This window comes from Homo sapiens, chromosome 18 (assembly GCF_000001405.40).
Source record: "Homo sapiens chromosome 18, GRCh38.p14 Primary Assembly".
Taxonomy (NCBI): Eukaryota; Metazoa; Chordata; class Mammalia; order Primates; family Hominidae; genus Homo; species Homo sapiens.
In genome coordinates, this window is record NC_000018.10 from 14,595,179 (window position 1) to 14,611,567 (window position 16,389).

General features: G+C 34.0%; 1 long non-coding RNA gene across 5 annotated transcripts in view; it reads right to left on the reverse strand.

The window, feature by feature from the left end:
- LOC105372004 (uncharacterized) overlaps window positions 1-16,389 on the reverse strand; it is an 87,301-nt gene that overhangs the window by 39,970 nt on the left and 30,942 nt on the right. For 2 of the 5 annotated variants that reach the window (XR_935172.2, XR_935171.2), the window contains exons 3-4: window positions 16,096-16,244; window positions 6,963-7,081 (exon numbers count right to left, since the gene is read on the reverse strand). The exons of 1 other annotated variant lie outside the window; for it this stretch is intronic. This is a non-coding gene — a long non-coding RNA (uncharacterized LOC105372004). The remainder of the gene's footprint in view (window positions 1-6,962; window positions 7,082-16,095; window positions 16,245-16,389) is intronic. 2 more of the 5 variants (XR_935173.3, XR_935174.2) reach the window with 2 other exon arrangements.

Below are 16,389 nucleotides of genomic sequence, written 5' to 3' on the forward strand. Positions count from 1 at the left end.
CTCCTGCCAGCTCCTTTTATTCTCCAATCTCAATAAAGGCTAGAGGCAGAAAAGCCCAGATAATGTAGCCATGATAATGAGCCAACAGGGGCCTAGAATAGAAAAGGGTGGAGAATGAAACAAACAACTAAAGAAAACTTCAAGAGAAATCAATGGGAAATGATGACCTGGGGACAACCGACATGATGTAGTAGTTGATTTCAAGAATTTAGGGTATAAATGGGAAGAGATGAATTTATAGTTGGGAGGCGATGTGTTAAGAAAGTTAGATACTTAAGAGAGAAAGTTGAAGGAATTCATACTAATGGGGATGGGTTTGGTTTTACAAAGTAAGAAATGAATTTATACAGTACATATATACATATCCTAAGAGCCCATGTCAAGAAGAAAATCCAAATATCTTGTTCTAGGGTGTGAGAATGATCATCAAGACTGTTTTCTGTGCTTCCTTCCCCCTAACATTACATAGGTCCATAATGGCTAAATCTCCTTACTGTCCAACTGTACAAGAAGGGACCTAATTCTGAGTGGTCTATTTCGGTTCATTTCTATGCAAATTATCTGGCATTAAAATTCAATTTAAAAAATTAGCTCAGCTCCTATTGTGCCACCAGGATGATTTAAATTCTGTTTTTTCTTAAAAGAAAAGGAGCAGAACATCTCTAAATCTTTGCATTTCAAATATTTGGTTTCAGTTTTGGGTCTGGTTCTCAACACTGACCACTAGTATTAACATACAGTTTACTAGAGGAAACTTGTGTCAAATTTTCTATAACAATAGTCACAACAACATATAATGAAAAGAAAAAAATGTAACATCAACTAGGATGGGATGCTAGCGTCGACAGTTTATTTTTACTCCTGGTATTACAACCTATATTTTCACTGTTTTAAAAAAGATTCAAGTTCCACATGAACCTAGCGGTACACTAACAATATGACAACAACGTAGCCACTTATCTCAGTAAAACAAAAATTTTACTACTTTTGGTGGTGCCTTGCAGACTCATTTTTTTCAGAAATTGCTTATCATCTGTTTATTTATAATATTCAAGATACCCATAGGTGATATGGAATGAAATGATAGCCAATTGTATTCATTAGATTTTGCTCCATATTAAGCCACCTCAAAATTTATTGAATTAAACTAGGAACCATTTTATATTTGTTCACAAACCACATGAGTACCTTTTCTTGTCTGGGCCAAGATGTTTGATTTCTACTAGGATATCTGGTAAGTCTGGGTGAGCTGGACAATCTATACTGACCACCCTCATATGTCTGGTAGCCTCCAGGTTAGCAACATGAGCTAGTTTACTGTCAGCCAGGCCCCAAATTCTCTCCACGTGGTCTCTCATCTGCCATCAGCTGGAGCTGACTTATACCTGAATGAGAGCTTGTTTTACATTATCAGGGGTTTTGTGAGGTAGTTATTATACACTTGGTGGCTTGAAATCTGCCATAGTGGGAGTATTTGTACCATAGACATTGGAAAATACTACATATCAGAGCCTTCTCTGCCCCCTTTACCCCAAGAAACAGCTCCTAAACATTTACCAGGACATCATTGCTTCTTGTCTTCCAAAAGACTGGCTTAGGCTCAATTCCATGGTGGCCTCAGTATTCCAATAGTAACAATAGAGGGCAGTCCCAATGCAAAACTCTCTTGTGCTATTATTCCTTTCAGCAGAACAAGACACATGGCCAAGTCCAGAGTCAGTGCAGAATACCACTCATGAATTTAAAGGAACCAACGATTGATTCACAGAGTAACTGGGGTGAATCTCAAAGGCATTATGTTGAGTAAAAGAAGCCAGTGTCAATAAAAACATATGTATGACCCCATTATAACATTCTCATTTTTTAAAAAAAGAGTTTTATGGTATTTTTGAGAGGTAAAAAGTAACCACCTCGCAGCCGCTTGTACACTCATTTATTCAGTGAATCAATAATATTCTGTGGGCATCTACTATTTGCTAGGTTCTGGGCCAGGTGTTGGGGTGATGATAGTGATCCTAAGACACTCAGTTTTTCCCCACGAGTCCCACAGTCTTGGAGTGGAGATGCAGGAAGGAGAGAGAAACAAAAACATGTAAGAAAATCAAACGAGCAAATTAAAAGTTTAATGAGTGTTATGAAGGTAGTAAATAATGTGAGATGAGAAAAAACAAAGGAGTGAAGAGGGTGGAATGGTGCTCAGAAAAAGCCTCTCTCTGCTCTGTGTAATGAATAATCTTTTATTTAGTTCCAGTGAGAAGGATATACAATAGAAGAGCCGAAGGAAACAATATTCAGGCAGACAAGAGAGAAATGGAAACTCCCTGAAGTGGAAATGGATTATGTGTTTCAGAAAATGAAAGCAGGAATTTAGTGAATGACCAATGAGTGAGAAGAGATGAAGCTGAAGGTTAATATGTAAAATACAGGATATCAAGGGCTCATTATGGAGACTGGATTATATTTCTAGAGCAATGGGGACTATGATGGTCCCTTGGTGTCTATGGGGAATTGGTTCCAAGATCCCCGCAGATACCAAAACCCATGGATGCTTCAGTCCCTGGTATAAAGTGGTGTAGCATTTGCATATAACTTATGCACATTCTCCCGTATACTTTTAAATCATCTCTAAATTACTTATAATATCTAATACAATGTCTACATATCACTTCGTTTAAGTGAATTCAATGTAGTACTTGGTGTGTTGCAAATTTCAGTTTTGATTTTGAAGATTTGTGGAATTGTTTTTTTCTAAATACTTTTGATCTGTGATTGATTGAATCCATAGACACAGAACCCATGCATACAGAGGAATGACTGCATGTTTATCATTTTAAAGTTGTTTGACTTATTTATCTTATTTTTAATGATTTATCTTATTTTTAAAGACTGCTCTGAGCATTCAGGAGAAATTGACTGGAAAAAAAATCAGTGCAGAGAGCTGGAGATTACTAGAAGCCCTTCGAAACATTTAAGGAGAAAGAAAGGGAAGGTTTAGACAAGGGAAATTGTAATAGAAAGCTTTGATGGAAGTGGGAGTGAGAAAATGGAAGGAGCGAAGTTTCTGGTTGAAGCCACTGCGGGAATACAAATGCCGTTACCTGGGTTAAGGGAGACTAAAGGAGGACTAGATTTGGAAACAGAAGAACTGAAATGCCTGTGAAAATTAAACAGAAGATGTGAAGAAGAAACGTGGTCTATCAGTCTGGGCTAACGATTGGGCTCCTTTCCTCAATTAAGCTCATCAAATTTCCTGGGCACTCACTCTGTGCCACAACATTTACTTTTGTCTTTGTCGCCTGCTCTTCTCTGTAGATTTCCTAAGTCTTTCTACAGCTCTAATGGGATATGTTTCCATAACATCCCAAAGCAAGCTATTTTTATATCTGGGCAGTTTTACCCACTTATGTCTGTTGTATGGTCAAGTACTGCGTAGTGATAATTAAAATATTGGATAATTTTGGCAAAATATTGTGTTGTATGGAATTTGAAAACCTTGACATAAAAATTTTCAAGAAAAGGAAGAAGTATAAGATTAGAGAAAACAAAATTCTAATTTTCTTAGACCCATTGCTGGATTTGCATTTCTTTGGATCTAGTTTTCTTCAGGCCCTGTGCATGTGTGCTAGTGCTTACTGGCACCGTCACTTTAGATAAGGACAAAGAAAGCATAGAGGCAGAACATTAAATGAGGGTAAATGTAGTTGCTGCAAACTTTGAGGTCACTACATTTCTGTCTCATGACATATGTTCTCATTTGCAATTATGGGCAAACAATTTAAAAGTTCTTACCATCTTGATATGGGGGAGAAGCAACCAAAATAGTGTTAATAACTACCATAGCAAGATGAATTCACTTAACGAAGTTTGTTTTTTAATTGGCTTTTGCAATTCATGAGATTGCCTATCTGAGACTTTGGGGAGTATCATGATATTTAAATAGTTCCTTTATAGGCTCCTGTGATTCCCTTTTTTAAATTATTTTTTAAAAAGTTTTGGAAACTTCTCCTCTTCACCCTTTTGTTACTTTCCTGAGATTTATCTCAAAATTGGTATGTGGAATTTAATCGCATCAAGCTTAAAAGCTACTATACATGTTGCCACTCAGAGAGATAAAGGGATTCTGGGCTAAAGTTATTACCAAATCAAGGCAACCTGGGTTTTTGAGCATGAGGACTTGGGGTTTGGGTGTGAGAGCCTAATATAAAACAAAATAGTGAATTATTGCTGATTATTGTTACTGCTAACACAAGCATGGGATTGAAGTAGCAAGATAAAAGTGAGCATGCTGATGTATACTTCAGAAAGAGCAGAGAATATCATTGGGCACAACTTTGTTATTTTAGAGGTAGGAGGATCACTTGAGGCCAGGAGGTCAAGGCTGCCGTGAGCCATGATCACATAGTTGCACTACAGCCTGAGTGATAGAGCAAGACCCTGTCTCTTAAAATAATAATAATACTAATAAAAATTTATTTTAAAGACCAGGTAGACATCCTTAGATAGAGGTTTTCCGCAATCAGATCCTTATTTAAGCAATATATAGCAGTTAAACGTATGTTCTTTGTGCATTCAAACCTTCAGACTACCAGTGTGCCTTGTGACGCTAACTTTAGCACTAAATTGTAGCTGCTTCTAACACAAAGTTAGGATTATAATAATATCTACTTTATAGTATTGTAAGGATAATAAGGTAATCATTATCCTTATCCTGGTTACATATCACTGCAAGATAACTAAATCAATCTCATCATACATTCGCATATGTTCTCTTACCCATTATACATGTTTTTAGAACTTAACCCTCTCTGTCAGACTTATTTTATTACCTATAAAGTTTTGTGAGTCGAATATTATGAGAATATTTTCTAAAGATATACAAATAGAAAACAAACGTAGCAAAAAAATGGATCTAACAGATAATAAAAATGGACCCCTATTAGATTAATAAAGAGTAAAACAAAAGGATATTACTAAATAAGACAGAAAATTTGAAAACATGGAAGCTCTATTTGGTCAAAAATTACTGAACAACTTTTAGAAAGCAATTTGCTGTATTTATCAAATTATGTCCATATTCATGAGCTGATAATTGTATTTCTAGGAGTCTATCTTGAATAATTTCTTCCCTAATTCTGTAACATAAAATTAAATGCATATATATATATATATATATATATATATATATATATATATGTACATTGGAAATGATGAACTGTAGAAAATATAGCCTCATGAAGAAATGGGTAAAGCAAGTCATAAGGAGAAAATAAACTGTTGATTTTCTCAGTGCAAGAGTGTCATCTGAACACCTACTATCTACCCACAAAAACTGAAAATTAAAATTAAAAAATTAATAAAGTGTCATCTGAAACAGACTGACATTGTTTCCTCGTTCTGAGAAAACGCTGCTCCACTCACATAATGAGCTAGAATAATTCTGACTTCAAAATTTGAAAAGGGTCATATAAGAAGGAAAAATTATAGGCCAATCTCGCTCAAAAACAAAAATACAAAATTCCTTTAAACAAAGAGCAATACAAATTCAGGAAAACAGAATAATAAAATAGCATCCATTTGAGATCACACAGCAATGCAATGTTGATGAACTGAATGAACATTTGATAATAATTTAATACAATTCACTGTATTAACAGAATAAAAGAAAAACTGTATATATAATATATATATAGTTACTTCAATAGGTGCAAAAGCTGTTTAAAAATAATAATTATTGTTGTAAAGAAAATTTTCATAAAGAATATAAAAAGTATATATGGCTGAAAAGTTTAATATCAGCCATAAGCACACAATGCTATCTAGGAATGACACTGTGATCTACTCCCCTTATTTGAAATATCAACGCTGAAGGCAAAAATAATTTTAACAAAAAAGCCAAAAATGTAAACATAAAGTAGAAGGAGGTGAGGTTCACAGCACATGAGGTGAGGAGGTGAGGTTTACAGCACATCTAATTCAAAAGGACTTTAGAGGCCAACTAGTTGAGTGGTTATCAGATTCATCTGATCATCAAAATCCCTGGAAATTTTTTTTCCTTTTCAACTTTTATTTTAGATACAGGGGATAAATGTGTAGATTTGTTACAGGGGAATCTTGTGTGATGCTCACACATACGATGGGATCCATACTCTAAACCTCACATACTGAGTATGGATCTCACAGGTAGTGAGCATAGTACCTGATAGGTGGTTTTTAAACCAAGCTCCCTTTTCACCCTCTAGTAGTCCACAGTGTCTATTGTTACCATATTTATATTTGTATGAGCTCAATGTTTAACTCCTAGTAATAAGTAAGAACATGCAGTACTTGGTTTTCTGTTCCTGAGTTAATTTGCTTAGGATTATGGCCTTCAGCTCTACCCATGTTGCTGCAAACAACATTATTTTATTCTTTTTTATAGCTGCATAGTATTCCATGGTGTATATTTACCATTTTTATAAATCCAAACTATTATACCACTGATGGACATCTGGGTTGATTCCATGTCTTTGCTATTGGGAATAGTGCAGTAATGAGCATACAAGTCCATGTGTGTTTTTGGTAGAATGATTTATTTTCTACTGAATATATATCCAGTAAAAATGGTAAAAGAAAAAACACCCTACAAAATAGAGTGTTATGCCACCAAAAATGATAAAGTAAGGAGCTAATCTAAAATCCCTCTTCCATAAAGAAATGAAAAATTGACAAAAATTTACAGAGCCACTGTTTCCATATCCCGGAGATTAAGGAAAGGCTTACAGCAACCCAGGGAACATTTATTAAAGAAAAGTAGTTTGGTTCTTAACAGTAAATACTAAAAAGAGCCCGTTAGGTTGAAGTAAAAGTCCTAGACAGTAACTTGAATACATATGAAGAAATAAAGAGGACTAATAAAGGTAAATGCATATGTAAATGTAAAATACATAAATACGTATTTTATTTGTAATACTTTTTTCTCCTACCTGATTTAGAGGATAACTTCACAAAGAAACACCTACAAATCGACTTGTTGTTCAGCACAACATGTATAAAGATGTAATTTGTATGACAATAACAGCCCGGAGAAAGGGTAAAAACAGAGCTATAAGGAAGCAAAGTTTTAAAAATATTATTGAAATTAAATAGATATTAATCCAAACTTGATTGTTATAAGTTAAGGTGATAATTCTAAGCCCCAGGGAAACCACTAATACAAGATAATTAAAACAATATACTAGCAAACATATGTTTAACATGAAAGAAGACTATAATAAGAAAGAGAAACAGAAAAGATACAAGACATATAGAAACAAATAACAGAGTAGCGGATGCCCTACCTTATTATTAATGACTAAATGTAAATAGATTAAATACTTCAATTAAAAGGCAGATATAAGCAGAATGGATTGAAAACATGACTTATCTATATGACGCCTATAAAAAACTCACTTTTGATTCAAACATACAAATAGGTTGACAGAAGATTCATGAAAAAAATATACAGTATGCCAACAGCCATAAGCAAAAGAGAGTTGGAGTGGATATATCAACATCAGATAAAATGGACTTTATAACAAAACATCTTTACATATATATATATATACATATATATATATATACACATATATATATAATACTTTCAGTTTTAGGGTACATGTGCACAACGTGCAGGTTAAATATGTATACATGTGCCATGTTGGTGTGCTGCATGGCACACACCAATGTTAAATGATGGTTAACTCATCATTTAACATTAGGTATATCTCCTAATGCTATCCCTCCCCCCTCCCCCCACCCCACAACAGGCCCCGGTGTGTGATGTTCCCCTTCCTGTGTCCATGTGTTCTCATTGTTCAATTCCCACCTATGAGTGAGAACATGCGGTATTTGGTTTTTCGTCCTTGTGATAGTTTAATAGAGAGAGAAGGACATTGTGTAATGATACAAGCATAAACCCATCAAGAAGATTAAACAATTTTGTACACGTGTGTATGTGTTTATTTATTTCATTAAATGGCAACAGAGCCCTAAAATACATAAAGAAAAAAACTTACGTAATTCAAGGGAGAAATAGACAGTTTCACAATAATAGACAAAAATTTTAGTACTTTTAAGTAGAACACTAAGATAGTGTTCAGCAAGGAAATAAAAGACTTGAAAAACTCTGTAAGTCACCTAGACTTAATGTATTTATAAAACACTCCACCAAACAACAGTAGAATACAATTTCCTCAAGTGCACATAGAACATTCTCCAGGATAGACCATGTATTAGGCCCTAAACCAAGTCTCACTAAATTTAAAAGGATTAGAATCATGCAAACTATGTTTTCTGATTACAATGGAATCAAATTAGAGATCAATAACACAATAAAACTTGAAAAATTAACAAATAGTGGAAGTTCAACAACATATTCCTAATATCCATTGGACCAAAGAAAGAATTACAAGGCAAATTATAAAATGCTTTAAAATGAAAATGAAAACACAGCATACCAAAACATACGTAAATCTTTGTGACTTTGGATTAGGCAATAATTTCTCTGATTTGACACCTGAAACACAAGTAACCAAAGAAAAATAGATATTTAATTTTATCAAAATTAAAAACTGTTGAGGTTTAAATGACACAATCTAGAAAGTTCAAAGAAAACTCACCAAATGAAAAAAAAAATTGTGAAGTTATATCTGACATGGGTCTCGTATCCAGAATATATAAAGAACTCTCAAAAATAACTAAAGACAAATAACCTACTTAAAAATGGGCAATGGATTTGAATAGACTTTTCTCCAAACAAGACATGCACATAACCTTAACCACATAATATTGCTCAACATCATTAGTCATTAATAAAATGCAAATTTAAACTACAATGATATACCAATTCACAACCATTAGGATAGCTGTAAGTAATTTAAAAAATGGAAGATAACAAATGCTGTCAAAATTGTCAAGAAATTAAATTCCTCATCTATTGCTTGTAAGAATGTAAATTGGTATAGCCACTCTGGAAATCTGTTTGGTAGTTCCCCAAAAAGTGAAACATATGCCCCAGAAATTCCAATTCTAGTCAGAGTTCATAGGTTTTTATTTCATTTCAGAGAAATAAGATGTTTATCCAAAAACTTGTACACAAGTATTCATAGCAGCAGTACTATCGACAATCAAAACTGAAAACAACCTAAATTCCCATCAACTGATGAATGAATAAACAAAATTTCTATATCCTTACAATGGAATATTACATAGCTATAAGAGGGAATACAGTATTCATACATGCCATAACATGGATGAAACTTAAAAACAATATGCCAAGTTAAGGAAGCCAGACACATTATTATTATGTCATATCACTTATTAGAAATGTCCAGAATAGGCAATTCCAAAGAGTCAGAAAATAGTTTAATGGTATCCAAAGGCTGCATTTAGGGAGAATGGGAAGTAAATGCTAATGGTTGCAGGGTTTCTTTTGGGGTTGTGTAAAATGTTTTAGAGTTAGACAGTAGTGATAGCTGCATAACCTTGTTAACATGATAAAATTTACTGAATTGTACACTTTAAAAGGATAAATTTCATGGTAAATGAATTATAAATCATTTTAAAAGAGAAGTAAACAATATTCATGATTTTTTTCTTTAAAAGAAGACAGTATGAACTTCCACTTCCAGCCATGAGGTACTACTGGATTTAATTTCCCTTCATAATCAACAAGAAAACTGGATAAAATATACCACTACATTGTGTTTAAGCATTAGTCTACATGCAACACAAGACTAAGATCCTTGAGGGAATAAAATATAAGATTAATATTATGATCAACCTAGTTTCCTCCTTGGAGGTACTTTCTACATTTCAGGGCAGCAAAGGCAATTCAAAGCAGAGTACAGTTGACCTGATGAGTTAGAAACAGAAAATGGAGTTCAGAGAGCTGGCAATGGCCAAAATCTACATCCAGGACAACAACAACAACAACAACAACAACAACAAAACAGAAAAACTCTCCAGAAGTTTCTATGGGGCCCACTTGAGTTGTTATTGAATAGTAAGATGAATACACAAAGGCTAAATCTTCTAAAATCAAGGAAAAATTTTGTAGAGCTATAAGCTGAACTGTGTGAGTTTACTCAGGAGACGTATGATGTCTGATCAGCCAGAGAAGACAGTCTTTTAAAAATACCCAAGACTGGACGGGTGCGGTGGCTCATGCCTATAATCCTAGCACTTTGGGAGGCCGAGGCGGGTGGATTACCTGAGATCGGGAGTTCGAGACCAGCATGACCAACATAAAGAAACCCCATCTCTACTAAAAATACAAAATTAGCCAGGCTTGGTGGCGGATGCCTGTAATCCCAGCTACTTGGGAGGCTGAGGCAGGAGAATGGGTTGAACCTGGGAGGTGGAGGTTGCGGTCAGCCGAGATCATGCCATTGCACTCCAGCCTGGGCAACAAGAGTGAAAACTCCATCTCAATAAAAAATAACATAACATAGCATAACATAACATAACATAACATAACATAACATAACATAACATAACAACATAACATAACATATAAAATAAAATAAAATAAAATATAAAATAAAATAAAATATAAAATAAAATAAAATAAAAATACCCAAGACCCTAGTCGACCCTGGGCAATTCCTTAAATACCAGATACTTCCTTAATACTAAGGTTAAAGTAGCTTAGAGAAGCCTACTCTAAACCCATCTTAAAATATTTAAAAATAAAATGACATAATTAGCCTAGCCCACAAGTAAATTTGCGACTGAACAAAGACTACTACTTTTGAATAAAAAAAGAATCCAGCACTCAGAAATATTTTTAGTGTCCACCATTGATAAATGTAATAAAGCATAAAAATATACATCGTAATGAGTAGAATTGGAAACTGATTCAAATAAGCTCAGAAATTACCAAGATGTGGAAATTAGGATAAAATAACTTTAAGAGAGCTGTCATAAATATGCTCAAGTATATAAATAAAAAATATAAACAGAATGAAGAGAGGAATGGAATATATTAACAACATCAAGATTTTGTGAGGTGAAAAATGTTAGGCACCACAAAGGAAATTATCAGTAAACTAGAAGACACAGCAATAGAAAATCTCTAAACCAAAGTACAGAGACAAAAATGTGAAAGGAAAAACTGAACAGAGTCCCAGCAATATGCAAGAGAATGCCAACTGGCCTAACACGTATGTAACTGGAGTTCCAGAGGAAAGGATAAAATGGGGACCAAAATGTTCTGAATTTGATTGAAAGTTATAATAAAAAAAGTCAAGAAGTTCTACCAACCTCAAGCGAGATAAATCAAAAGAAAATCACAAGAAGACATATCACAATTCATATGGGAAACTTGTCATACAGAAAATATCTTACAGTAGCCATGGATAAAAGAACAACCATATACTGAAAAACCAGGATTTGAATAACTGAATGCTTATTATAAAACAGGATTCGAATTGTTAAAAAAACTGAATGAAAACAACAGAGTCAACACAATCATTTAAGTATGAAAAATATCCTTCAAAATGAAAGTGAAATGAAGACTTTGTAAGTCAAACAAAAGCAAGACATATCATGGTTGATATTATTCTACCACAAAAACGGAAAGTAAAGGAAGTCCCAAATTAAAAAAAAGTAGCAAGGTAGTAGATATAAACCCAACATATCATTTACATTATATGTAAATAGTATAAGAAGTCTACTAAAAGGCAGACATTGCTAGAATGAACAATACAAGCAAGAGCCAACTATTTGCTGCCTACCTTGAATCCACTTTAAATATAAAGGCACAGACTACTTAAAACATAAAAAGATGAACAAAGATATACAATACAATGCAAATAGTAATTATAAAGGAGCGAAAGCAGTCACATCAATATCTGACTCTGTAGATTTCAGAAGAAAAAATATAATCAAAAGTAAAGAGAAGCATGTCATATGAGAAGGGGCTTAATCAATCATGAAGACACACCAATCCTAATCTGTTTGCACCTAATTTCAGAGTTTAAAATAGATAGAATCAAATATTTCTTATCAAATCAAATCCTCCACCTGACTTGAAAAATAACATAAACATAAAAACCTACAAAAAATGTTTATAGCAGTTTTATTCATAATCACCAAAAACAGAGAAAAAGCAACCAAGAAGTCCTTCAATATACAAATGGATACACCAACTGTGGTGGAAATACAATGGGATACTATTCCATATAACAAAGAAAGAGCTATTAATCCATGCAACAACAAGAATGAATCTTGAATGTATATTGCTAAATGAAAGAAGACAGTTGAAAAGGCTACACTTTGTACAATTTCATTTGTCTCATGTTCTGGAAAAGGCACATCTGTGGGCACGGAAAACAGAAGAATGGTTTCCAGGTGTTTGAGGAGGGGAAGTGGTTATCTGTAAAGGGGTGCACAGGGGAGTTTTGATCATGACACATCTAGACTGTATGGTACTAGAGTCTTGAGTTTTGTACTATGAACCTAGAGTCCCATTAATGCTCAAATTCTTTATTTGAACTCAGAAGTATAAATGTTTGCAAAATTATTTGGAGTCTCTTTACTAGAATCTACTCTGTAGGATACAGTATCTCTATTGTATTAATAAAGCAGCTTTCACTTTTTTACTCTAAAATACTTGCCCTAGAAACCAAGCACATGGCTCTTGTGAAGCTGTCAAAATGCCAAGGTGTTTGCCGTGTAATATGCACAGTCACATGATGACTCCCCATCAATTTTTGACACGCCCAATAGTGCTTTTCTAAAGCTCTTCGGAAACATAAAGAATTAGCTAACAAAATTACTCATTGCTTTTTAAAAAAAGTGTTACATCTCTTACAGAACAAAGCATTTCCATTAGGCCTGCTGCTTCTTCCATTTGTGAAATCCTCAAGGTGATGCACCATAATTATTGTGGGCAAACAAATTGTCTCACGTAATTATCCCTGATTAAAGGTATTTCTGCTATCACAACTCTCCTCTGGGTCTCTTGGTCACTACAGTCCAGTGACGACAAATTCCTAATTAGCTTGTAATAATCGTGATGGCTTTTCTTATATCAGTGTGCTGAGTATACTGATACTGCAGAGTGTAAAAGGTGAAGACTGAAGTCTGGAAAGACATGGGTTCTCTATCTTTGTCCCTCATCCAATGGCTCCTGGTGAATTTTGTTTTCCTGGGTTGGTGCTGATATTTTAAGGCCAGGGACAGAGATTGAGTCAGAACAGAACAGAGACCAGAGACAGTCAGTTATCCTCCGTATTGTTTTAAATTAATCTTTGAATATTCTACACCCATTTTACCTATTTACCATTGTCCCAATACCTAACTCTGAAGAGTGACTGCTGCCATCACTTTACTAAAACCAGGTGTTTTACACTTTTGATTGGATATACCTTAATTTCAATATAATATTTTATAATTATTCTTATCTTTGAATTGACTTACTCATTTTGGATCATGTTTTTCAAAAACCGGAGACTGCATTTGGGAGAGGGAATTCTACTCTTTTTTTGAGGAAACACAGAGCACCTGGGAGGGTATGTAATTTGCTTACAACTATAAAGTTATTGAGTGAAAGATAGAATTGGAAAATATATTTTCTATATCCTAGGCTAATACATGTATTTAATTTTTAAAAATTAATATATTCTTTTATCTCAATAACTTTTAGGATACAAGCAGTTTTTGGTTACACTGATAAATTATATAGTAGTGAAGTATAAGATTTTTAGTTCACCTATCACCCACAAACACAAGTAGTGTACATTGTACTCAAGATGGCTAATACATTTTTGATAGTCCATAATGTCTTTGGCCAGCATCCATTGATTTGAACTTCAGGTTTTTAAAGCTTATAGTTTAGAATGGTCCTTGTTAATCTATGACTAGAAAGTAGTAATATAAACCACTAATGAAATTTAACATTTCTTGCTGGATATATATTCTATTTGTGAACAAAAGCATATCCCATATATAATTCCTTAAAATATATTTTAAAATATTACTATTATGGTAAATTCATTATATCACTACTGCACAAGATGTTTGATTTAGTTATATAATGATTATATATATCTGTCAGAAGCAAGTAAAAAGTCACCTACACTTTGAATCAAGGGAAAGTCAGATGAAAGGAAGAAAACCCTAAATCTTCCCTGATGAAATTTTTGATAAAATAATGCAATATCTTACTACTTCAGAGTCTTTACAGATCCCAAATCATATAAAAATCACTATTATTGATGGTACTTCCTAAAACATTCTCCAGTTTTATAGATCCAGTGAGGCTGAATCCTTTGCAAAATTGTGAAGCAGAAGATTTTGTTTTCAGCATTTCTTCTTTTCAGTCTACTCTTTTTCTCCTTTCAGATTCCCGACTGCTCCAAATGCTCCTCTAGTTGCCTAAGACTTAGATTAAGATACAGCATCCAGACCTGTCTCACCTCCTTGAAAACAACTCAGCTACAGACACCCTGAATCCACTTCTGTCTTGTTTAGAAGTGAATTCTTTATGACTTATCTCCTGAGGGATTGTTCTGTTTTCTTAGGAGATGTGGAAGTAACAACGAAATTCTTCCCAAGCATTAACAACTATAGATTATAGGATAGCTCCACACTTTCCATTTCATCTTAGGTAAGTAAAAGTGTTTTGTCAGCATCCTTCTGAAGACCATGCACCAGCATTTGTCTCCAATATAGTCTATAATAGAGAGACTGCTATTTCTCTGATCTGCATTTGGAGTGGGAGGGGGGTCAGGGGAACAGCAATATTGGCAAGTTTGTGAAAGATACCTATTTGAACTTGTAGAGTTTGGTGGCCCCTGTAAACGATACCTATTTATTTCACTTCATCTATCAGTCATAATGTCTGAGATAGAAATATTGAGGCAAGATTCATTTGACAGAATTTAAAATAGGAGGGAACTGATATTTGCTGAGCACAGCCCTGTATACATGCATTAATCCATCTTCAAATTTTCAAGAATTTTTTTAAAAAAACGTCTTTACATAAAACATCTACTTATTGGAAACTCATTCTTGTGTGAGTCAGACCACATAATGTAAAATTATGAGAAAATACTTCTTCTGATCTAAAATAATACATTATTAAGAATGCATACATATACTTAGTCACTACAGTTGGTTAAAGAATTTTCATTTATATAATCTTTTAAGAAATATTTTTAGTGTCTCTTTGAGGTTAATAGTCTCAAGATTTAATATTTGATGATAATAATCCCTGAATGGCTAAAGGAACTGCTCAGCGTCACACAGTTACCCAATGATACAACATAGAACATTTTAAAATAATAGCTTTGTTTTCACTACAGTACAGCGATTTTATTGGGAACAAAAATACAGTCCATTTTATCTAATAGGGAATGTACTAGGGGTAAAGGGAAGTGAATTCGTCAGCTTGTCTAAATAAGGAAAGGGTTATTAATATTAGCAAATAATTTTTAGGGAGACAAGTTATAAACCTAACTGCCTCATCACCAGTGCACAGCACAGTGCCTGGGGAAAAGCAGGCATTTAAATTTATATAAAGTAAATGAACCAAAAAAGAATGGATTTAGGTAAGAAACAGGTTCAGAGTTCATGTGTTCCACCACTTTCATCTTATATACTAAGAAAGTTCTTGATTGAATCAATTTGCCCAATGTTTTCTCCATGAAAAACAGGGTCTTTTCTTTTTCTGAGCACCTGAAGAAGCCAATGAAAATGGAACAATAGAGCTCTGCAGAAGAGTCAGAAAAGCTATCGGGAGGATGATTCTTATGACTGTCGTTCACACAGTTGGATTATGTGTCTTAGCCTAAAGACACCAGGAAGTTTCTGTGCTCAGAAATGCCTCCTGATGCCCCTCTCTGCTGCAGCACCCGGAGGGTCTCCATAGGACACTCATTCCTTGTGCTTATGGCTTTTCTCTTTCTGATGGAGTACCTATGAACTCCTATTCGCTGATTTTGTTAGATTTTACTTCTATTCATGCCTTAGGGATTCAATGCAGTATTTACGTCACAGGATTGAAGGGTCAGGACTTCTGGGAAGTGAGAAGAAAGAGAGATTTGTATAATTTTTTTCGGTAGCCTGCTTTACCTTCAAGCTCCACTTGTTAAACTCTTCTAACAAGCCTAGAGCCATAGTTTTGATATAATCTGTGATAATACAAGAGTTCTCCCTTATCCATGGTTTTGTTTTCAGCAGTTTCAGTTACCTCAGGTCAACTGTGGTCCAAAAATATTAACCTATTTTGAGAGCGAGAGAGAGGAAAAAAAGAAACACATTCACATAAATGCTATTTCAGTATCTTGTTATACTTTTTTATTTTATTGTTAGTTATTACTGTTCATCTCTCACTGTGCCCAATTTATAAATTAAACTTTATCTTAG